Genomic DNA, 24,718 nt, shown 5'->3' with positions numbered 1-24,718 from the left:
TTTCGACGTCTTAAAAGTGCTTAATGAGCACCTTTTCATACCTTTAAGGGGACCTCTCTGTGTAAGTCTCTGAAGGCCCTTGCTGAGACATTGGTTCATCAGTGGCAGGCTCATTTGCATCTTGGTCCCTGAGCGGCTTCAGTGTGTTTTACAGCTGCAGAATGCACTGGAAACTTCTGCCCCTTTGTAGACTATTAATTCATTGGGGAGAAAAGCCCTCGTGACGAGGCAGTGGCATCTGCTGGTGGTGTTGCCTTCTTTTTCTTGTATTCCTTTTTTAACCAAAAAGTTAAGACATTTCCTTCAGCTCTCGACACTCTCAAATAAGGAGAGTTCCTCCCATTAGGATTTTTCACAGTTCTTGCCTCAGAAAAACACAAAAATCAAGATAATACCAGAAAAGACATGGAGAAAGACATTTTAGGAGAACATGAAAATGGCTATAGCAGGCACTACACAAAGCAGTAAAATGCCTCTTATAAAGAGTACCTATAGCTGTCCAAGCGCGGTGGCTCACACCTGTAATCCCAGCACTTTGGGAGGCTGAGGCGGGCGGATCATGAGGTCAGGAGATCGAGACCATCCCGGCTAACATGGTGAAACCCTGTCTCTACTAAAAATGCAAAAATTTAGCCAGGCGTGATGGCGGGCACCGGTAGTCCCAGCTACTCGGGAGGCTGAGGCAGGAAAATGGTGTGAACCCGGGAGCCGGAGCTTGCAGGGAACCGAGATCACACCACTGCACTCCAGCCTGGGCAACAGAGCGAGATTCCATCTCAAAAAAAGAAAGAAAGAAAGAAAGAGTACCTATAGCTAGAAGAGAAAAATTGTAATGCTCCCACCACAAACCAAAGATAAATGTTTAAGGCGATGAATATCCCAGTTACCCTGACTTGATCATTGCACATTGTTGTGTATATGTGTCAAAAGAACACACATACCCCTAAAGTACGTACAACTATGATTCACAATACAAAAAGGGGAAAACAGTACCAATTAAGGTAAAGATGTGCTACCAAAGATGTGCTAACATTTTACATGATTTCCATCTCATAACTCTTAGAACAACCCATAAAGTAGGTTACCTATGTACATAAACACACACCAAAAAATTTCCTCCATCACCAAAATCAGGTGATGTTTTGAAGTCATCCGGGAGAATGTGGATCTGAGAGATACATTTCCAATATATTTCAAGATGATCTTAAACATGTAGAAAGACCTGTCGGTTACAAATTGATTATTTCAGCCTTCCTCTACAGATGGACAAGTTATTGGTGTAAATACATGGCAGCTGTAAATATCAGTCGGAGTATCTGAAGTCACTCCCAGGATTCCTGGGAAAACATTCTGCCTTGGGAAGTAAAATGCTGAAACGAATGCACTCTTAAAGGGGTTTTGTTTTTGCTTCTTTTTTGTTTTCAGCTCTTTCATGTAATTTCACATAATTTGTAGGCAAAAATCCCAAGAGCCGTAAATGGTCCTGTGAACATAGTATTTCACACCAGTGATATTTTCATGTTTTTTTGTCGGTTGAAAAAACCTGAGATGAAATAGTGTTCATAAATCTCTACTTTGTACGTAGATTTTTACTCCCTCAGGAAAGCTCATGGCTATGCAGTTGTAAAGCTCTTATATTTGGTAAATATTAAAGCAAATATTCACTTAAAGTCATACTCCAAATATTACTGCATAAATCAGTGCATTTAAAGAAAGTTCACATTGACAGGCACGTGTATATATCCTTTAAACATCTTGGAACTTACTCTGCACTACTAGGAAGCCACTTTTTTGTTTCCTTCAACAATGGAAGACTTCACTTAAATGATGAGACTAGTACATACACATTTGGTTTAACTGGACTGCAATATAAATGTTCAGCTTACCCTATTGATAAACGATGTGATTGTTCCATTCTGTATAAAAGGTTTCTTGATACATAGTATGTTTTCAATTGTGTAAGCTTCATAAAGGGGCTTGTTGAAATAGGTTACTGTATATGAGTTTAAAATTTATAGCAAGCTGAATGAGACTTGTATTGTGTTTGAAATTATTTATACCAACTCAAGAGACACAGCATTTCTTGTGACCAAAAAAAACTATTTTACTTACAGTATACAAGATAAAAATGTTTCATGTGGCCAGTCACAGTGACTTGCACCTGTAATCTCAGAATTTGGGGAAGTTAAGGCAGGAAGATCACTTGGGCCCAGGAGTTCGAGACCAACCTGGACAACATAGAGTGATCCTGTCTCTACAGAAAAAAAAAAAAAAAATCAGCCAGGCTTCTTGGCACACACCTGTGGTCTCAGCTACTTGGGAGGCTGGGGTGAGAGGATTGCTTAAGCCAGGAGGTTGAGGCTACAGTGAGCCATGATCACAACACTGCACTCCAGCCTGGGTGACAGAGTAACACCCTGTCTCAAAATAAATAAATACACAAAATATTGTTTTATGAAATTATAGAGTTTTAAATTTCCAAAGACCTTGGAGATTATAACATCAGTACAGATATATAAACTGAGGTCTGGAGATGTAAAGTGACTCTTCCAAGGCTGTATCACAGGATGGTGGCATTGCGTCAGGTTCACTCAAATGTTGTGAATCTTAGTCCTGCATCCTTTCTACTCTACTGTTTGCTTACCCCTAGACGGAAGGAAAGAAAGAAAAAACCAAAGGAAAGAAAAAGACTGAAAAAAAAGGAAGTTGCAGTATTCTACGTATTGGTCTTCAGTGTGATGGTGTGAAACCCATTGGTGTTTGAGTTGAGAGGTCTCGAGGCTTGGCTTCTGTTCCTGGTTTTCCCCCAGTATGTCTGCTAAGAGACCATGTTGTGCTTATGCTTATTCTTAGCTCCGGAAGCACATTGTTGATTTTCTCAAATATTGTTTTCAGGTTATTAGAAGTGGAGCAGAAAGGTTTAAGCATGGGAGATAGCCTCTCACGAGTGTTCACACTATTTCAGCAGTATGTTATATCTTTAAGAGCTTGATCCTTAAGAAACAACCGTACTCTAGAAAGTACATCATTTTTCCTATTACTAATAATGTATAGATAACTCATTAATAGGAATCTGTAAAATATTCTTATTTTTGGCCACCGATATGATAAATTCTTGGACTTTATGTACCTTTTAAAGTACATCTAATTAAGTGATTAGGAGGTCTGTTTTTAAAGGGAAACAGGGAAAGTTGCTGCATTATTGTCTGGGTTTGGTTTTTATATTGTATATTATCTTTAATGTTAATACAACAGTCCCAAAAGATGGTTGCTAATTTCAGGTTCTGTTTCTCTAATTCTTGGCCTAGGAAAATGAAAATAAGGTTTGACTGAAATAAGATTCTGTTCAAATGTCCTTGCAAATGAGGAAGCCTCACATTACCAATTTTTTCCCAGGAATTTTATTGTTGATTAACTGCTGATGGGGTAGAATTTATAGTTGAGAATAATTTCAAAAAGTTAATCAGTTGCCAATGGGCTTAGTAAAGAAAGGAAAATATAGGAGCGGAATCTGCAGCTTGATTTTTGTGGTTTTTTTTTTTGGGTGGGGATCTCATTATTGTTTGTACAATGTGTGTTACTGCGAAAAACCCTAATGAACTTTGGCTTAAATACTGGTAATAACTAAAACTGCTCATTCTCCCAGTGTGACCACCCACCATTCTATAGCCTACCATGCCTATCCAAAAGTTTATAATTAATTTATTTTTATATCATTTGAATTCTTTTTCCTGTATTGCCCAGCAGTCTTTACGCTACCTGAAATTTTTACCAGAAATGACAGACATTCCAGCACATATTTTCTAAGGGCACTATCCTTCATATAGAGTATTCGGTCAAGTGAGTAGAAGGTTAGTCAAACTCATTCAATATAAGTCCCCAGTTTTCACTACACTCTATGAATTGTTATCAACCTGAAAATAAGCTCAAGAAAGAAATGTTGGGTCGTCTTGCCTGACTGTGACTAGGTGTCTTCATCTGAGTAGGCTACATTACTGTAGTAAATGATCTCAAATTGTTGACTGGCTCCAACACAGTATAAGTTTGTTTCTTGTTTACATGGTTGTCAAAGCTAGATATTCCTGGTGAACAGATTGCTTCTTTTTGCAAAAATACAGCAGCCTCTTTCCATTTTGTGGCATCATCATCTTCGGGGACTTATGAATTTTTCTGTATTTGGCCTGTAAAAGTAAAATGAGTAGTGGCTCTTAAAAAGCTTGGCCTGGAAGTGGCACACATAGCTTTCACTCACATTCCTTAGCAGGAATCTAGTTGCAAGGGATGCTGAGAAGCAGTCTCTGGATGTTCCCAGAAACAACCCTGTACCATGGGAGGAAGAAGGGATTTAGGTGGACAAACAGGCATCTCTGCCACACCAGGTAACCTTTTCATTCATTTCCTTATGAGCCTGGTTGAGTGGGGTTTCATCTTTGGGTCTTCAGATGATTAATATTAATACAGATTTACTATCTCTCATTAATGTTAATTTTAAATGATAGTGTTTCTACATATTTTCTAGAAAAAGCTAGTACTTTTTTATTGAAACTTATCTCACATATTATTGTTCCTGCATATAAAAGCTAACACAGAACTCCTTAATCCTAATTAAATAGATTAGTTGGAAATCAATACACCTACTTCTGACAAAGAAGCCACATAGATATACCATCTTGGATGTTACTTGTATGATTATAGGTATATCTGTTTGCTATTGCTACTGTATCAAATTACCATAAACTTGTTGTCTTAACACAATATATTAGCTCATAGGTCTGAAGGTCAGAAGTCCAAAATGGGTTGGCAGGGCTGTATTCCTTCTGGAGGCTCGAGGGGAGAATCTTTTTGCTTGTCTTTTCCAGCTTCTAAGAGCTGTCTATTCCTTGATTCATGACCCCCTTTCTCCACCTTCAAACCTCTTCTTCCCTTCTGCTTCTGTCATCCCGTCTTCTCTGACTCTGAACCTCCAACCTCTTTTGTAAGAACGCTGTGAGGCTGAGCATCATGGCTTGCACCTATAATCTTAGCACTTCGGGAGGCCAAGGCAGGAGGATCACTTGAGCCCAGGAGTTAGAGACCAACCTGGGCAACGTAATGAGACCTCATCTCTACAAAAATTTTTTTAAAAAATTAAAAAATGTTAAAACTAGGTGGGCATAGTGGCATGTGCCTGTAGACCTAGCTACTTGAAAGATTGAAGCAGGAGGCTCAGTTGAGCCTAGGAGTTCGAGGTTACAATGAGCTATGATCGCACCACTGCACTTGAGCCTGGGCTACAGAGTGAGACCCTGTCTCTGAAAAAACAAAACAAAAATACATCCTGTGTGCCCACTGAGACAACCCAGGGTAATCTCTTCTCCTTAAGTTCGTTAACTTATTCACATCTGCAAATTCTCTTTTGACATATAATATTCACAGAGTATCATAAAAATCTTGTGATCTGAGAGTTAGGACATGGACATCTTTGGGGGGACCATTATTCATCTTTCCACAATAGATAAATTATGTACAGACTTTTTCTCAGAGAAAAGTGATGCAACGATGAAATGGATTTTTGTTTGCTTTTCAGAAAACAATTTGCTGATCAGACTGTGCTGTGTAGTGACGAAATGTTGATGCCAGAAGGAACTGGAGAGGTTATTTCATCCAACACTCACATTTCCTGGATGAGGAATCTAGGACCCCTAAAAATTGATAGATACTTGCCCAGAGGTAATTCACGCAATCACAGGCAGAGCTTTGGGACCTTCTGGGGATTTTAAGATAAAGGAGGAGAGAAGGTGCCATGTTCTTTTCTTAGAACTCCATTTAAAGCATTTTGTTTCTTTAAGTAACAATAATGTTCTAGAATATAAAATGTTCCCAAGTTGACTTCTGATAGCAACGAAATGTTTTAGTGAATCATGGACCTCAGACCTTAATACTGTATATAAAAGAAACACTTTTCTATAATGTTCTGCAGAGCACTCTTGTTTACATAGACTGTCAAGGAGATGGGCTCCATATTTAAGAGAAAATGTTTTGAGTCTTATCACTTGTCAGGTACTTTTGTTGGCCAGTCAGGAGTGGATGGTAAAAGTACTGACAATTCTCTTATCTCATTCTTAGCCCGTTGTTTCCTACCCTCTCCCCCTTGCCTGTGATACCCAGTATTGTCGCCACTCACCCCATGTCGCTGTCGAGCAGTTAATACCTGGCTAGTCCAAATTGAGATATTCTGGGAGTGTAAAATACACACCAGATTTCAAAGACTCGTGCAGAAAAAATAATGTAAAATATCTCATTGTTTTTATTGATTACATGTTGAAATAACTTCTTTTAAATTTGATAAAATAGAAAGAGAGTCTTACTATGTTGCCCAGGCTGGTCTCAAACCCCTGGGCTCAAGTGATCCTCCCACGTTGTCCCCGCAAAGTGGCAAAGTGCTGGGATTATAGACATGAGCCAACGTGCCTGGCCTGAAATGGTAACATTTTGGATATATGGGGCAAACAAGATGCATCGTTAAAGTTAATTTTACTTGTTTTCTTTTTACACATTTTAATGAGGTTACTAGAAATTTTAAGTTATTATGTGGCTTTTATAGACTTCTATTGGACAGTACCATTCTATACTTTTCCCCAGCTCTAATGATGTTCCGATTTGAGGCACACTACTGCTCCCTTATCCTATGAGAATCAGATATCTTAGAACTAGTGCAGTAAAAATGGAGTATTTCTTATTTGTATTCACAAGCTAGGAAGCTCATCATATCTTGATGAGTGACTGTGATACTTATTATAATGTACTAAGACCTTTGTAATTCTGGGGAAAATGCAATTAGTAATATCTGAATTAAAGAATAATTTAAAAGAAATGCACTTTTATTTGCTCCTCGGAATGTATCTTAACACAAGCTGAGCAACGTGCTGCTTAGTAAAACAGGCCACACAGAGTAATTGAAAGAGCATAGTCTTGAGGATCCAAGTAGATTCAACATTGAATCCAAGCTCCTGTCTTAGCTGAAAAGCTTTAGACAAGTTAACTACTTCCTCTAAAACCATGTATAAAATGGGACTGATAATATCTATCTAATAGTGTTTGTCATACGTATTAAATGAGATAATGTGAAGTTTCCGGCCTGTATGAAATTCCCTGGGGAACAGACTGAGTCGTATGGAGGTGAGGAGGAGGTGGAAAGGAAGCAGGATTGGGCAGAGAGGAACGGACGGCAATGCCATCTCAACAAAGGCCTCTGTGAATCCTTGCAGAGCTCTGGGACCGGAGGTCGGTGGAGAAAGCTAGAGAGGCATTGACACATCCTCAGATGCAGGTCCTGTCTCCCATGACCCTGGGCCAGGCACCTTTTTTCATCTCAGGGCAATTCTCAGCGACAGCTGCCAGGTGACGCTGGATGTGCCCTTGATTCCTGAAGGGGTGTCTGGGCAGCTCAGCACAGAGTCTACCCAGGAATGTGCATTCCCCCCGTTCCTGTTACCAGCTTGCATTACACATGAGAGAGGGTACTGTTCTGGTCACATGAAGTTATCATTGTTAATTTATCCATTTGACTTGTTTCATACTCCTTCTTGTTACAGACAACATTTTTTAACTCATCTGTTCCAAGTTTCTGTAATGGTCTTTCTAGAGTGTAGTCCTTGGAAAAGAACTGTGAGGTTACAAGGTAGATAAATTCAACTTTACAAGATAATGCAAAATTATTTTCTGGTATGTGTATATACCCAGGAAGAGCAAAACCGTTGAGATTGGTGTCCTCAAGAAGTTTAATGGTGATGGTTATGTTCTGTTTCATGTACTTGGAGGAATGTTTAAGGGTGTTTTTTATTATTTCTAATATCTTGTGTAAATATTATATGTATTGTTTCGTATGTGTCAGTTATTACATAATAAAAATGCCCCTTAAGGGGGAATAGATCAAAGTTATCCACAGTTCTATGGAATCCTTCAGGGGTCTTCTGGCATACATGGAAGAAGTCTAATAGTTTGTTTCTACAGTATTTGATATACTACCTAGTTTGGTTTATGACATGACAGGAGGCATCAAAGATGCTGTTATCTTTTTACTTCATGCATGCACTTTTATGTCTGCAAGGCTGATTTGGGGCTGACAGGTATCAATGACTGTTGTGTCTGCAGTTTCCTCTGAGAGAGATTAAGATTTCATTTAGATTGTCAGCCTTCACATAGCCAGCCCAAGTTGTGATCTCAATATTACTGTAACATTAGCTCTCATCAGGCCTTTGTCGTTGCTGTTCTTTGCAAGGAAGCTTTCTCCCTCTGCTAGGGATCTTTAGTCTAAAAGTCTAGAAGGCTAAGGATCCCTAGTAGAAGGGGAAGGAGTAGTTTTACCCCTAGAGAATTTGGGAATTGCACAGCCTAACTCTGGTCCCTTCCTGTCTTAGAGGGTCTTTTTTCCTATCCATTTATTGTTTCCTTCTTATATAAAAATGTATTAGATTTTTTTAAATATCTAAGAGTTAGTATTTTTATGCTATAATTTTCCTCCATACCTTTGGCCAGCTCCAAGGATCCCTTGAATCAGTACTACCACATGAAAACAGTTTCATTTATCAGAATAATTTTTTTTTTCAGTGGAGATAGGGTTTCACTATGTTGCCCAGGCTGGTCTTGAGCTCCTGAGCTCAAGTGCTCAAGTGATCCGCCTGTCTTGGCCTCCCAAAGTGCTAGGATTACACATGTGAACCACTGCACCCAGCCTATCAGAATAATTTTAATTTATTATTTAAGAAGTGAAAGAAGCTTCCATCTAGAGAAGGAACTTCACTTTTTTTTTTTTTTTCGGAGATGCAGTCTCACTCTGTTGCCCAGGCTGGAGTGCAGTGGCACGATCTCGGCTCACTGCAAGCTCTGCCTCCCGGGTTCACGCCATTCTCCTGCCTCAGCCTCCCAAGTAGCTGGGACTACAGGTGCCCAGCACCACGCCCGGCTAATTTTTTGTATTTTTAATAGAGACAGGGTTTCACCATCTTAGCCAGGATGGTCTCGATCTGCTGACCTTGTGATCCACCTGCCTCAGCCTTCTAAAGTGCTGGGATTACAGACGTGCGCCACCGCGCCTGGCTGGAACTTCATTTTTAATTTAGTTAATTTGAGTTTTGTAGAATGTTTTCTCCACAGGCTTAGGGAACAGTGTGGTGGTAGCAGATGAGGAGAGTTGGCTGGCAGGTTAGGGCTCAGGTGGGTGTGGTGGGCAGGTGTTGAAGGGACCAGGAACATTTTATTGATGATGATTTACTGTGTGGTGCCTCAGGCTTGAGTAGGTACCAGTGTCTTCTTAATCTTTGTCACTGAAACAAAACACTGGCTTGAGGTGCTCTAGTTACCTTACTGTTTCATGACACTTGGACAGGACTATTTTCAGATCCCAAATTCTTTTTTCAGATCTTTCCTAGCATTCAGGGTCCAGTGTTACTACCCATCATCACTACTTACCTATCAGATGCCATGCTAATGCTTCATCTCTGTTTGCCCTGCACCATCTAATATAAGTCAGTTGTAATAGCCAGGATTCCTGGCTCCAAAAACATGGAAACTGACCTTTAATAACTTAAGAGTAAAAAGGAATCTATTGAAAGGTCATCAGGTAGTTCACAGAATGGAGGAGGAGGCTATTTTGAGGATCATATTAGAAAAATAGACTTGAACCAAGGAGGCTGAGTGCAGAGGAAAGTGCCACGTTGCTTCCGTAGGAAAAGTGTGGGGCTAGTAGCCTGCAGTTGCCACCACAACTGCAACAGGGGGGCTCTGTCACCGACTCTGAGTCTTTACGCCACTTTTTTGAGAGCATCATATGGCCGGGCTTAGGTCACATGGCTTATACCTTTGTTTCCAGCTTACAGGGACAGGGAATACCTGAAGATTTCCGCTAAAGCAGGATGTTGTTTTGGTGAGTAGCCTAAAATCAACAAATTTTAATACAGCATGTTTCCCCCTGTTTTTAAGTGAAATATAGAGAATTTCAGGAACTTATTCAATGTCACTGACCAGTCAATGACAAAGCCAAGATATGAACACAGGTCCGTTTGGCTCATAGCCATTGCGCTTTGCTGCCGCCTTATGTGCTGTTGACCTGGTAGAAACCATGATTTGGGGCTTGGCCACATTGAAATTTGGATGAGGCAGAGTATGAAATAGCAAATCTGTTGGGTTTGTTTGTTGTATTTAAGGTCGTATGTGTCAAGCTGGTCTGATTCATAGAATCCCTACTCATTGAGGGGTAGCAGCAGTACAACCAGCAGTTGGGGGAAATGTGTTTGAAATAGCCCTGTCTTCTCCAAATTTTGTGGTGTTCTGCTCCATTTGAGAAGTTCATCATCTCCATGTTTTATGTAGCCCGGCCTTCACATATGTCAGCGTCTGTTTCAGATTTTTCTAAACCCTTCAGGAATTTACTTGAGGTTGAGCTAGTACCAGTCCAAACTCCCACCTGGACATTCTACCCCCGGTAGTGAATTTCTGCAGCCCCAGAGCTTAGCTTTGGTATTAAAGTTTGAATTTTAATTGTTCCCCAACTATCTGTACTCCATCCTTTAATTTCAGAGAGACCTTATCCAGTGAGGAGTTAAAATAACATCTATATAATATAGGCAGTTTGGTTTACTGCCCTTTTGAATATAAAGGCCGAAGATACATTTGGTTACAGAAAATGTGCCCAAAGTGACAATTCTTGCAGCTAGCCAAACATCAGTTACTGGGAAGAAAAAAATGAATAATCCCCTCAAAATTCCAATCAGGTTCTGTTACTACTTTTTAAAGTCCCTTTGATAGCTTTTCATCATCTTTAAAAAAGCCTCTCATCATCCTTCTTAAATATATTTCTCAGCTCCCGCTCCATTATGGCCTGATTTTCTTCTGGTTGCTCCTGCTTTTACCTTTTACCCCTCCGTCAGAGGGCCTTGGCACAGACTGCTGTTCCCTCTTTTCTCCTGTTCATTCTTCAGATCCTGCCTCATTTTCTAAAGTCCTCAGGGAAGCATTCCCAGACTTCCTTAAGGCCAGGCCCATTCCAATTGCTGTCAGAGACTTCCAGAGCTGCAGTACCTTGTGATTCTCTTCCATTGTATTGGCACAGTTACTGTTTTACATTTATTTTGGGTATTATTTGATTATTACTTATTGATTGATTAATGTCTATCTCAGTGTCAGCTCAGTGGGAAGAGGAATCTCTCTGGATTTGCATAATATTTTATTCCTCATGCCTGGCACAGTGAATGAGGGAAGTTAAAATGTTGAACAGAATTTAAACAGATGTTTTGTCTTTTGCACTATAGAGCTTACAGTTACTCTTACATTGTACCAAATGGTCACCCTTTTTTGATGAAACTAAATATGGCTTGACATTATTAAGGACTGATAGAAATTCATAAGTGACCCAGACTACCAAGCAAACTAATCAAAGAAATGAAAAATGAAATGTTGGTAATTTTAGAGGACTTTTGATAAATGAAAATGAGACAGCAAAAAGTGGCTCCCTCTCTGTCTCTGTTCAAATAATCTTTTTTTAGAAAAAATGCACCTAGGGTCATGTACTTCGACTGGCATTGTTTTTTACTTAGAGAATAATTTGTCTTTGATGTGAAGCACAAGGGCAGGGATCTCTGATCATTTTATTGCCTCCTAGATTCAATGATTGGCATGTATTAGGCACTTGGGGAATATTTGTTGAGTTGACACTAGATGTTAGAGATAATTATGGACGGGCTTATTGGATTAGCTTTTGAAACAGTATTTTCTCAGCACTCACCCTTTTATATACAATTATTGGTTTACTCATCTGGATGAACAGCTTTGGAGGCTGTGAAATAGCATTTCTGTATTTGCATTTTGTGTTTACTTTGGGCTAGAATTAAGAATACCTTCTTGTAGCACAGAAAGAAGAGTTTATAATGCCTCAGGTATATAGGGTAAGTTTTTCTGATCTCCGGAAGGCCCTGTAGCTTCACAGTTTTGTGTTTGTTTTCCATATGATGGTTGGAAAGGTCTGAGCTGACTGTGGCATTGTCAGCTATACAGAGTTAAGTGTGTGAACACACAGAGGCCGTCTTTGTTCTGCATTGTCCGTACTTCTAAACAGCAAATCTAATGCATCACTCTGGTCTAAAACATCTTACATGACTGGTCTTGTTCATGAGGGGGAAAAAATGAGGTTTTTTTCCAGGTTCAAAACTGTTTAACTTATACGGGTGTTCCCCCTGCCTTAAGAATGTTATTTCATTTGCAATGTAAGAACGTTCTATTTAAAGATTTTTCCCCCCATCCTGTTGCTTTGTATGTTTGAGGAACAGATGGAATCAAAAGCGTGTGATGCTCCAGGAAGATTGAAGGCTGCTGGAGTGAGGTGATGCGTCCTCATAGGTTGTACAAATCATAGGATTTTTTTTTTTTTACTCCTAACCGCCAATTCTTATAGTGATTGTTCATTAAGGTTGATTTAGCTTAGATTCTAGTGATGTCTTATGGACTAAGGAAATCCGTAGCCCCACTGCTAGAAAAAACTTTGCAGTTTTATGTCCAATTGAGATGGGTGAAGGCAAGCCTTATTGGACCTTTCTGAGAAGGGGCAGGGGAAATCAAGGGAAGGGGCTCTGAAGCTGGTTCAGCAGGCTGGGGTCGAAGGGTGACGGACCAGACAGCGAGGAAGAGGTAGCCCGGCACTGTGGGCCAAGTGTTTATTCTGGGAGAAAGGGTCTGAGTCCCGTTTAGGAAAGCGGTGGTGTGTCCATCAAGGTGGTAGGTTAGTGACACATGGCAGCAGGGTTCTGGTGCAGGCTCAGATGTCAGGCAGTGGAGCCTGTATCAGGCCTCATGTGGCTGGACCATCTAGGGGATAAGAATCCTGTCCTGGGGTGTAGAGTGTTAGAAGAAGCTAGGCTGCCACCATCTGCTGGGGTTCAAAATAGATCCCTAGACTAGAAAAGTATTAGCTGGAAAGGCCTGGAAGAAGACAGGAAAAATAAAGCAGTACGTTTTGATCCAATGTATCTGTTTTCCTCATGATACCTTGTGTGTTTATGTATCCTTAACAGTAGTAGCTATCGTTCTCTGCAAAATTAACTTGCTTTGTAGTCATGTTACCGCATGGAAAGGAATAGCACTCAGAGAACGAAAGGTTGCGTACCTCACTCCTGCCAGGTCAAGGACAGGGAGCTGTCACATACGTTTCAGGACTCCAAGACCAGTTCCTACGCTATTGGTACAGTTGATTTTGTCCTTTCATGTCTCCTTTTCGTAGTTCTTATGAGTAGCTGGCCTCTATTTCACTTCTAGAGTCAGTCTCCCAGCCTTGAACTTTCCATTTCAAGATAACCTTTCAGGCCTTAATGTAGTCTGAAGAGATATGTGTTCGTGGAATATTTAGCTTTCAAGAAACAAATAGCATAGGAGGAAAAAAAGAAACCTCAATATTGGTAATTAAGAAACCTGGGCCCAAGTCTCAGTTTGGTCACTTCATAGTTATGAGCTCCTGGACAAGTCACTTTGTTTCTGTGTCTCAGGAGTCATCTATAGAATGAAGAGATTGAAGATGATTCTTGCTGAGGCCTCTCCCAGCTCTAATAATAAGTCCAAATGAATAGTCTAGGAAACAATTAATCATTAGCATCTTTATAACAGCAGCACTAGCCTCTTGAATATGTTGGGCTACGTGACAAACATGGACAGAAAATCTTGGCAAGCCCCTGCCCTGTCACTCCCAAATCAGCCTCTGTCACTTTACTCTGTTTCAGTACAAGCAAATGTAATGTGAGGAACCTAGGGAAAGTCATGAGAGCCTTTTGAATTAACTGAGTGTTACAACCGCCATTCTGTTCTGAAAATAGGCTGAGGCTGAGTTCCTCTTGACACCTCATGCCTCTCTTCCCTCCCCAGTCCTTCTTGGTATCCTGCTAATTGTACCTCTAGACAATTGGTATTTATAATTCATTTCCACTTTAGCTTTTCTCCAGAGTTCATACCTCAGTCTTCACCTCCTTCTACTAATGGTTCTGTGAGATTTTCTTAGCAAAGAGGGAAGTGTCTGCCTGGGTGCCGTTTGATACTCTCCTGTTGATTTCACTTGGGATCTGAAAGCCTTTCAGTTCATTGATACTCTGAAGATATTCATCATTATAATTATGGCAACAGAATTTCTTGTTCTCTCTACCTCCTACCCCCGACTGAATGTGAGCTGCTCAAAGTTAGGGGCCTGATGGTATCAGCGTTGTGTGTCCCCAGCATCTGGTACCTAGTAGACACAGCAAAGAAGTGTATTGAGTTCATTTCTCTGGTACTCTTTTGAGAGGTTGAGTTTTTCTGATGACCATTAACTAGGTCCCTTGTTAGAAGCCTTTTAGGGTTTATCTACCAAACGGTGTCCTTAGAGAAAGCATCAGAAGGTGAAGCACCAGTTTCCAGCCTTCCGCTTAATTAGTTTGCTTCATTAAATGTCTCCTGCTATTTTGATTTGTTATGGAAGTCACCTTCACTTTCTGCTAAAGCTTTTGTGGAAAGTTATTTTGTACCTTTAAACAGCTGCTTCTCTCCAGGAAGCCTGCTTTTATTTTATAGCAAGCCGGCTCGGCTGTCTCTGTACAGGCTGGCTCATGTCTATAAATGGTCAAGGCCTCAGAGCCAGATGGGGCAGGACAGGGTCATCCAACACGTCTTTGAAGTGATTATTTCATATTGAATCTAGTTGTGAACCCCATATGTACCTAACACCATGATTGTGGGTGATAAGAAATAATGTAGGATGAAGAAAATAAGACTTGTTCAGAAAACAATTGGAAAACTATGTTGTTTCAATGTTAGGATGTGATACATTGCAGGGGTATTATTCACTGCATCATTATTGTAGCAAAAGATTGCAGACTAAATGTTCAATAATAAGACCCTGTTACAATATGATACATTCACATGCTCGAATACTATGCTGCTATTAACAAGAGTAAGGCGGCTTTGTATGTGATAATGTAACAGGATTTTGATAAGGGTTAAAAGAGCAAGAAATATTAAGAAGGCCAGGCACAGTGGCTCACGCCCATAATCCCAGCACTTTGAGAGGCCGAGGCAGGAGTATCGCTTGAGACCAGGAGTTTGAGACTAGCCTGGACAGCATAGCAAGACCCTATTTCTACCAAAACAAACAAACAAACAAACAGCCTGACGTGATCGTGCCAGGTGCATGCCTGTAGTCCTAGCTACTCAGGAGGCTCAGGCATGAGGATCACTTGAGTCCAGGATCTTTGCTCATAGCTGCAGTGAGCTATTATGGCATCACTGCACTCCAGCCTGAGCGACAGAACAGGACCCTATCTCTAAAATATAAATAAAAATAGCAAAAATAGACCAAGCGTAGTGGCTCACATCTGTAATCCCAGCACTTTGGGAGGCAGAGGAGGGTGGATTACCTGAGGTTAGGAGTTCAAGACCAGCCTGGCCAACATGGCGAAACCCCATCTTTACTAAAAAATACAAAAATTACCCAGGCATGGTGGCAGGTGCCTGTAATCCCAGCTACTCCAGAGGCTGACGCAGGGAGAATTACTTGAACCCGGGAGGCGGAGGTTACAGTCAGCCAAGATCATGCCACTGTACTCCAGCCTGGGCGATGGAGCAAGACTCCATCTTAAAAAAAAATAGCAAAAATATATATCATGCTTCCATTTATAGTCCATGAGAAGAAAAGGGATGGGCAAGCGCACACACACAAACCCAAACACACACACGCACGTGGACACACACACGTGGATGGCTTATTATCTCTGGAAGGATGCATAGGAAACTGGGAACAGTTCTTGTTTCGGGCAGAGGGACTGAACAGGAAAATGGTACGGGAAGGAAACAAATTTCACTTCATACTTTTTTGTATAGTTAGGGGGGAAATCATTTCGTATTTATTGTATTCATTTTTTCAGAAAAAAAAAAAACTGCTAAATTTTCTTTTTTTGAGACAGGATCTCACTGTGTCTCCCAAGCTGGAGTGCAGTTGTATGATCACAGCTCACTGCAACCTCAACCTCCTGGGCTCAGGTGATCCTCCCACCCCAGCCTCTCAAGTAGTCAGGACCACAGGTGCTCATCATCATGCCCGGCTAATTTTTTGTATTATTTGTAGAGATGGGTTTTTCACTGTTTTGCCCAGGTTGGTCTTGAACTCTTGGACTCATGTGATCCGCCCGCCTTGGCCTCCCAAAGTGCTGGGATTACAGGAGTGAGCCACTGCACCCATCCTGAATTTTCTTTAAAAGAAAGTTGAATGACGTGAGAGCCGATAGAGAAGGGAAACTTGTATATTTAAAGTAGTTCCTTTATTTGACAGCTGGTCATTGAGCTCCGGCTCTTCACCAGGTTCTGTTTTGGCCTCTGAGATGCAGGTAATTTCAAACAGCTATGAGTGCCCTGAAGTCACAGAAGTAGGGGTTTTGGTGGCAAATGAATGACTAGGGTGGAGCTGGGCTGCTGTTTAAGGAAGGATGGTCACAGAAGGTCCTTTTGGAAAAAGATACTGAGCTGACTGCTGAATGAGGAGAAGCCAGCTTAGTAGTGAATCAGGATGGGGCAACAGAGTTCCAGACAGGATGACAGCAGATGGAGGGTCATTCGGGAAAGCTTCAGAAAGGAGGCAAGCTTGCCTTCCATGCATGGGCTGAGTGGAAGCTAAAGTGCCACGCACTCACCTGGAATGAAGAGTCAGGCCTGACTGACAAAGATAAGAAGAGTGAGAAGCGGTTGGGATTAAGTTTAGGTCAGTAGGATGAGGCCTGAGCATCAAGGGCCCCTGGATGCTGAGGTCTGTACAGCTTTTTCAGGTACCTCTTGAGACATACTCAGATATGTCGCAGGGATCATCTGCTGTGAGACTGCTAGCAGCATTGTAGGAGTTCTCTTCACTCTGTCCACGTAGAAATACGTGTTCTGCAACAGAGAGTAAAAGGCAGGAGCAGAAGAAAACTTTCTCTCCCTGACTTGCAGAAAAGCTCATGGCAGGTTTAAAAAGGACAGGGCAATGCAGACAGCTATAGTGTGAGGGACACAGCGTGGTTCCTGGTATACTTCATGCGAGAATCTGCATGCTGGCTCTGTGATAGCGTCCTCATCAGGAAAGTGGGGATTGCAATATTACCTCAACCCACTTCGCAGAATTGTCATGTTGAGAGTGAAAACAAGAGAACAAGTGGCTTCTGTAAGGTATTAGGTGTTAAACAGATCGATGAAAGTGGTTATTAGTGGAGACAGTACAGGAGTAACGTCAATTGGGCAGTCTTTGGGTAAAGATGGCGTCCTTCTGCTAAACCTCCCAGAAATGACATGTATCAGATTCCATTTCTGTACATCCTACCATATGGTTTTAGTTTTTGTTGTTGTTGTTGTTGTTTGTTTGTTTGTTTTTTAATCTAACCATTTTGGTGGAGAAAAGAAAGTTCATCAGGAGATAGTTTATAACTCCTCATTATGATGACTGACAAATATCCAAAGGGCATGTTTCTTTTAAGCCCGTGCACTGTCTTTATCCCCACACAGAGGCAGGCGCTCATGTCTTTTACACGGGACATTTTGAATTTTTATCTTTATTATGGTATTAGTTTCTTACTGGGTTCCACCTCAAGCTTACTTTTGTTAACTGGAGATCTTTACCTGTAGACTCGTCGTCTGCTTAAGTTAGAACTAAGTCTATTCCAAATGATCGATTTTATTTTACTGCTATAGTACACCACTTTTTATGTCTTTGGAATATGCTTTGTAAAATAGTAACTTTACAGAATTTTTCTTAATTCTGAGAAACAGTTATTTGGTAGCTTCAGTTTCCTAAGAAGAGAGGAAAATGTACCTCAAAGGACAGGAGAGTCCCCAAGATCTTCCAAAACCTATTCCAAAAATAATCTATTATTATTTTAGATGGTAACATTTTACCAATATTAATGTCTTCGTCTTCTTTATAGCACAATAGAAGCACTAAGTGCTTTAAAAATAGGAGATGAAAAGTTAAAAAAAAAAAATGTAAAGGATATAGGAAGAAAGCCCCTGTCATGAGGATGCAACAAAACCCAAGGGTCAAACATCACCCTCTGCTGGGCCTGTTGACAGTAGAGGGAAACAGTTACCTGACATTAAAACATAACTTTAGTAATTAAAGTTTAAGAATTACTTTAAACCATTTTTTAAAAAATTAATTATCTCAAATAATGCTCAAGAACACCAGTGCGTTGCAAAATTTGAACATTGGTACATTGTAAAAAAAAGTGTATACATTCTTGAGTTGTAAAGGAAAAGTTTAAATCTGAGGGGTGGGATGGATTGAGGCTGACGTTTTTCCCAGAGTGGTCTTTGTAAACAATGTTTAAGTTTTGTTATTTATATTAACACGAAAGCCTCCTTTATCTGGAGAACACGCTTATGTGGCTGAGCCTCTGTCCCTGGGATGCCAGATAGTGAGACATCGCAATCCTGAGTAGTATGCTCAAAACTCACTTCATATGTTAGGAGCTAAAATGGTCTTGTTTTCTAGTAATCTCCAGTTTGTGATTCGTACTCAGAGGCTTGCACATTGCTGTGTACACTGACAGAACATTGATGGCTTTTGGAAAAGCTGCTTGCTGCTTGTTGCCCGGAGTTAGCTTTATTGCTCTCACTCTGTGCCATATTGAAAGTTAACCTGTGCTAACCCCCCAGTCATTTTCTCAGTCTCCTAGAGAGGTAACAGAACATCTTTATTCTGGATTTGCCGTACACACTGACATAATTCCTCTTGAAATATCTGGCTGTCGTAGTCTAAGGTCATAAGAAACATTTAATTCTTCAGAATGGCAACATAATTTGAATTGCTGTCAAACAGTGTGTGGCCTGAAACGGGAAAGAAAGGAAAATTATTGATCATTGAGATGCCTTTGTGTCTCGCATCGTTTCACTAGCCTGTAATTAATTGAGCCTTTTGACGTCCATCCATATTTTTTTTCTTCCTTGTGGAAATTCAGCTACGTTCCCACCCCACATGGTGCCTTGGAGATTACTTGAGACTTTTATTTGTGGTATCTCTATTTGGTTGTTGACATTAATGAGCTTACTTCACAAATATCACAAGAGAAATAGTGTTGCTTTTTGGAATGTTAATGAATTGCTTGCCTGGCCAATTGCCATTCGTTCCAGTGTGTGAATATGATGGGGTGTGTGTGTGTGTGTGTGTGTGTGTGTGTGTGTGTGTGTGTGTGTGGAAAAGAGAGACGAGTAGCAGGGGTGGATTGCATTTTTTTCCTCTTTGCAGCCAGTGACGTGAGCTGTGCCTGGAACAATCAGACTCGCTGCAAACAGGGTAGTTGAAGATGCTGGGGGAGGCAGCCTGGTGCTTCTTAAGCTAACGCGGATCACGGCGCTCAGGAGCTGCTCAGGCACAACCCCGCAGAGTTCCTCCAGCGTGAGAGCCTTGGAACGGTTGGAAAGTGCCTTTTTATTTCTCTAAACCCCTTCCTTAGTTGACCTTCGAAAATGATTGGCGTGAATAGTGTCCAGAGTGCCAGCAAGGTACGGGTGAGGACCTCAGGTTCCGTGAAATACTCCCGGGAGGATTCTATCCGGCGGCAGTCTCACAGGTCAAAGTCCATGAAAATTTCCAACTCCTCAGAGTTTTCTGCTAAGGAGAACAAGGTAAAGAAATACCACATTGAACCTTATTGACAGCTGTGTGGCAGGGCAACAGAATTGGATAGTCTTTGGCAGTGTCTAATGTGCAGTGATAGACTGAGAAAGTAACGAGGAGTATAAAATGGTTCTAAGAGAATCAGGTGCGATCAGGTGAAACGGATGGGACCTGAACTCCAGATACAAAGATGCTGTGGCATGGGTCAGTTTTGTAAAGAGCCAGTTTGTGGAAGAGATGGGCGAAAGCCGTGCTCAAAATGAGATGACTGTGGGAAACTGTTGTTTGGCACATCGATCTTGTTTTTGGTCTCAGAAAGGTTGCCTTGACAAATGATTTTTCAGTGCGGAGTATTTTTAGAACATCAGGAATACAGAGATATTGTGTATGATTTTATCTTTCAGTTAGTTCCTTTTTCCTTTCCTCCCCTGGTCTTCCCCCAGCCCCCAGTCTGTGGAGCTGATGTACAAGTATGACCTGGTCCTATTATACTACATTCATGTCAGGTTTAGAGTGGTTAGCCCCAGGCATATGTAATGAAGAGAAATTTCTTCTTTCATGTTCCTTACACATATATGTGCTGATGCTATGCTGCCATGAAACCACTCGTGTTTTTGCAGCTGTCTTGAAGATAATATAATCTTTGTTCGTGTGAAATGTGAAGGGAGTGATTACGTAGTGAAGTGGGCATTTACTACATGCAACATATTCTTGAGATTCTTCCCACCACCATCTGTGTGAGCAGGGTACTCAGAAACACTCCCACTCCACAGGTTTAAAAATGGAATAATAGAATCATAGGATCACAGAACTCCAGGTCTGGAGATGGAGATGATTATAACGGAGATTCATGGGCTTGATAATGTGCAGAGAGAGCGTCAGGAGGTGGATCTCAGTGTCATTTCAGCCTTCTCGGGGTTATATCCAGACCCACTGAGAGTGACATCAGGCTTTCTTCACCCTCCCACCACTCCCCACTGCCCTCCTCCTCTGCTACCTCCCCATCCCTGTGTGACATAACATTATTGAAAGACTTTGGCATTAACAGGTTCCCCTCAAAATATGGCAGGGGACAGGTGGCAAAATACCTTAGTGTGACTTTAAGAAATATGTTGGCTTCCTATTCACCCCCTTACATTATGACATAGTGGAGTCTGACCCCCTCCGTCATTAGCAAATTGCCTGGCTCCAGTAAGTCTTCAAATCTGGCTTTTTACTCCTCACTGTTTTTTTAAAAAGCTTTATCTTTAGAGAGAAACGTGTCTTCAAAGTCCTTTAATGTGACCTGTATAGGGATGTGTTGGCTTCTACTGAAAGTGTTATGAGACCACCTGTGGTGTCAGGACTGCGGTCTCCTGCTGAAATAGACCAGAATGGTTTATCATATTCTTAAATAAATGTATGTGAGCATGTATGTAATTCTCAACATGGCTATAAAATTGGCTTCTATAAGAGCACTAAGAGACGTCTCTGGATTTTGTTTTGGATGTTTTAATGTGGAGTATACCCATGGTATGCAGTCAGAGGCTATGGGAAATTAAGAGCTCATCATCCTTAACTCTGTTGTAGTCCTACTACCTATCCTCATGATAATTTAGGCATTGTAATATTAGTGGGTTCACCCAGAATTATGGTTGTGTAGTGTAATGTTGGAATCCAGCATAGATACCACATGAAAAGATTCTCTACTGTCCTCTGTGTTTGTCACACAGTACAGGTACTTTTACTTGATATGTATCTGTGGAAGAGAAGGCCAAGCACTTTTTTTTTTTTTTTTTGAATATTGCAAACGCCGCAGGAGTTAACAGTATAAAAGGCCACTGGTAGAACTGTAGTCAGTAGGCCATCACATGATACCTTAAAGATTATAGTCGGTTTTTAAGAGATGATTAGTATTTTTTTGAGGCATATGTGGTCCCTAAGTTACAGAATATGTGTTCAAGGATATAGCCAAGCTCCCAATATCTCACAAGAGATATTTTTAGGATTATCTAGTGGCTTAAAATTGAACACCAGAGCTAAGAGAAAATCAGTAGAATAGAATATTCTATCAGAGTGACCCTAATCATTGACTAGCCATTTATATTCCCTAAATGAAATAAACTGAATAATATGACAGGCTTGTACCCTAAATTACTGAACTTAATTATACTATAATAGACATGTGTAAAATGTTGATTTAAGCATCACTTCTCCCATTTTTATCCACAGTTACACGTTTTCCTCCAATTTTAATCAGAATTTTCATTGATCTTACTTGTATCTAGTAGTATTTTTTAGCCCTTAAATCAGTGTTTCTTCTTCCTCCTCTTCTTTTTTTTTTTTTTTTTTTTTTGAAACAGAAACAATGTCTCAGTATGTTGCCCAGGTTGGTCTCCAACTCCTGGGCTCAAGCAGTCCTTCCACCTCTGCCTCCCAAAGTATTGGGATGATAGGCACGAGCTACTGCACCCAGCTGGTATTTCTTCTTGCTAATCATGTAAACAGCATTTTTGATTATCTGACTCTTTCATCCAAAATGCAGGATGTCTAATTTGATGATTAGAAGATCCCCATTGCCACCTCTCTCCACCCTCTCATGTCATCTTCCCAACCTGTAAAAAATAAGATACCATTAACTCGTGGTTCGCTCCTGGGATTTAATGTTATCTTTCTAGAACTCTGGCTCTTTCTAGAATAGGTGTAATAATTGCTTCTCCTTGTCAGAGTTGGAATTACATGTTTTGTATTCTTTGAAACTTTCATCTTTGATGTTTCCAGCTTGTTTTCTTGGCCATTAAAACATAATGGTTTATTCAAATATTAATTATCTGTAGTCCTCACTTGTTCTCTGATTTATTCATATTCATTTGAAAAAAAGTGTTAAAGGACTGTGGAAAGGATTAGAAGTTTTGCTTTTAATTTTAGTGAGATATCTTAAATGCTTTTCTTGGTCTAAATATTTTAAATTAAGAAAATTGAATTTTCCAGTACTTTATGGTTCATATTGACCTCGTCTGAAGAATATTATTTAACCTACTAAAATTCAGCTTATAGATGTTATTTTCTTTAAAACCCCCTTCTCCGTGTTGACTTTTTTTCTTTATTCTGTGTTTAAATCTTACCATTTCCTCTAGAGAGAGTGTGGCTTTGTCTTTTTCTCGATAATAATGTTTGTATCAACCTCTGAAGCACATAATATGGGCAGGATGCAAATCTGAATATGTTTTGGAAGAACATGTGTTTCGTGGAGACCGGCATTCATTATTAAAATTAATGAAGTCTGACTGAGCTCAGCTCTTCATTGGGTGTCTGTTATTGGAAGAGTTACTAGCAAGGCTTCTGGCCATGAGGGGGCAGTGCAGACCTTCCTGCTGTCAGATCCAGCTGGTTGCTCTGCCTTTGACAGAAGTAACATTTTAGAATCAATTAGATTCTAATTGATTTCTAATTTAGAAACAATTTCCTAAAAGTAGAATACAATCAGCCCCGGGTATTCGGGTACCCTTGGGGTTTCAAAACCCATGGATATGGAGGGCCAACTGTACTCCAGAATTTGGAATGTGCAGTATTAGAAAATGTTGATTTAAGCCTCAGTTCTCCCAGACATTTCCACAGTCCTCCTCTGAGTCTAAATATTTGTCAAATATAAATTATTCTAGTACTAATTTTTAACTTATGGTTTAAAACATAAATCTGTAAAAGTTCATGTTGATAAACACTCTTTTCTTCCCCATCTCTTGCCAAACTACGTGATACCGTTTAAATGAGGCGGAATCTCAAACTGTTGTTTCTTTATGTTGTTGTAGGTGAATGTCACATGAGTGGATTAATATAACATGCGTGGCTGAATCCTTGAGGCCTTTTTTGAGGAATAAGCATGATGCTAGAGATTAGATCAAGAATTCTCTAGTTAATAATGTTGATTCAAGTGAACCGTTTAAAGCTTTTATTCAGTGATATAGCAAAGAAATCAATTTCTGTGACACCGAAATTTCAAGAACTTCCAGTAAAGTACTGGTACTTTGGTTGGTGCATAGTGAAACATTGGCCTGTTGGTTTCTCAGTCAGGATGCCGCATCCTGGCGGGCTACCCTGGTTTTGCTTTCTAAGTAGCAATGTTCACCTAGACAAGTTACTTCACCTCCCCAAGACTCATCCCTAAAATGCAGGGTTTTGACAAAATGATATCTTTGTTCTGAACACTGTTAATTTTAGAAATCTTGCCGAGGTTGGTGGGGTTATTTCCTCTGTGGAAGGAACCTTAAAGACTGAGCTAGATTTAACAAAGGTAGTTTTATATGTATTCTGAATAAACCTCTTCCTGTACTAGGAGATGTTAACCATAAACGTGTTAAAGGAAAATGGAAGTCCTTTGCTCCAAACCTCTGCTCTGCTAAGTGCCTAATCCATTGCTTTTTAAAAACGTGTTGCAATAATGTTGAAAGGCACCATCACCTCTATTCTCCCCATTCTGCTTAGGCTTCACTTGCTGTTTCCTTTGCATTGTTAGATAACTGCTAATCATTGCTTCCTCTGTGAGTTAAAGCTATACACAAAGAAACCTGAAGAAATCATTACAATGGCCCTTTGCGACCTGAAGTTTTGGTGGCAGGCTTGCAGATTGTTGTCATTTCTTCCTAGACCACTTTTGCTCTTTAGACTAAGGCTAGAGCCTGGGAAGGAGATTCTGGTCAAACAGGACATTGATATCTGCCTATTTTAAAATGGAGAAAATTCTTAGTCATAATATGAAAATTTTCTTGCAAATGTCTTTACATATTTTTGTTATTCCTAAGTTGAAGGAGTACATTTTTAACCTCATAAATTCATCCTTTAGCTGAATAGACTTTATTAAAAGAAAAACTTAAGCATATATACATTTTCAAGAGTTTGAACATTCAGGGATGCATAAATTAGGGTTGTACCAAACCACAAGGGGCTGGCACTCTGATGAGAGGTGCAAGAAGGAAAACTTTTTTTTTTTTTTGAGACGGAGTTTTGCTTTTGTTGCCCAGGCTGGAGTGCAATGGCACAATCTCGGCTCACCGCAACCTCTGCCTCCCAGATTCGAGCGATTCCCCTGCCTCGGCCTCCCAAGTTAGCTGGGAT

General features: G+C 40.4%; 1 protein-coding gene across 23 annotated transcripts in view, besides 1 other annotated feature; it reads left to right on the top strand.

The window, feature by feature from the left end:
- Positions 1 to 24,718, top strand: part of PSD3 (pleckstrin and Sec7 domain containing 3) — a 557,503-nt gene that overhangs the window by 381,397 nt on the left and 151,388 nt on the right. For 2 of the 23 annotated variants that reach the window (NM_001412896.1, NM_001412895.1), the window contains exon 1: positions 19,343 to 19,635. The exons of the other annotated variants lie outside the window; for them this stretch is intronic. Coding sequence is in view for 1 of the 2 variants with exons in the window: in NM_001412895.1 (NP_001399824.1) it covers positions 19,477 to 19,635 (159 nt within the window). In the remaining variant the exon portion in view is untranslated. Of the gene's footprint in view, positions 1 to 19,342; positions 19,636 to 24,718 lie in introns of those variants that run through there. 23 annotated transcript variants of the gene reach the window in all.
- Positions 23,817 to 24,379: an enhancer, noted in NCBI's record as "OCT4-NANOG hESC enhancer chr8:18536540-18537102 (GRCh37/hg19 assembly coordinates)". NCBI's record gives its function as "activates a minimal SCP1, AML or CMV promoter by ChIP-STARR-seq in naive H9 embryonic stem cells {active_cell/tissue: H9 hESC(naive)}" and the evidence as "EXISTENCE:reporter gene assay evidence [ECO:0000049][PMID:30033119]".

This window comes from Homo sapiens, chromosome 8 (genome assembly GCF_000001405.40).
Source record: "Homo sapiens chromosome 8, GRCh38.p14 Primary Assembly".
NCBI classification, from domain to species: Eukaryota; Metazoa; Chordata; class Mammalia; order Primates; family Hominidae; genus Homo; species Homo sapiens.
Note: the sequence above shows the minus strand (reverse complement) of the source record. Positions and strands in the feature narration are given on the sequence as shown.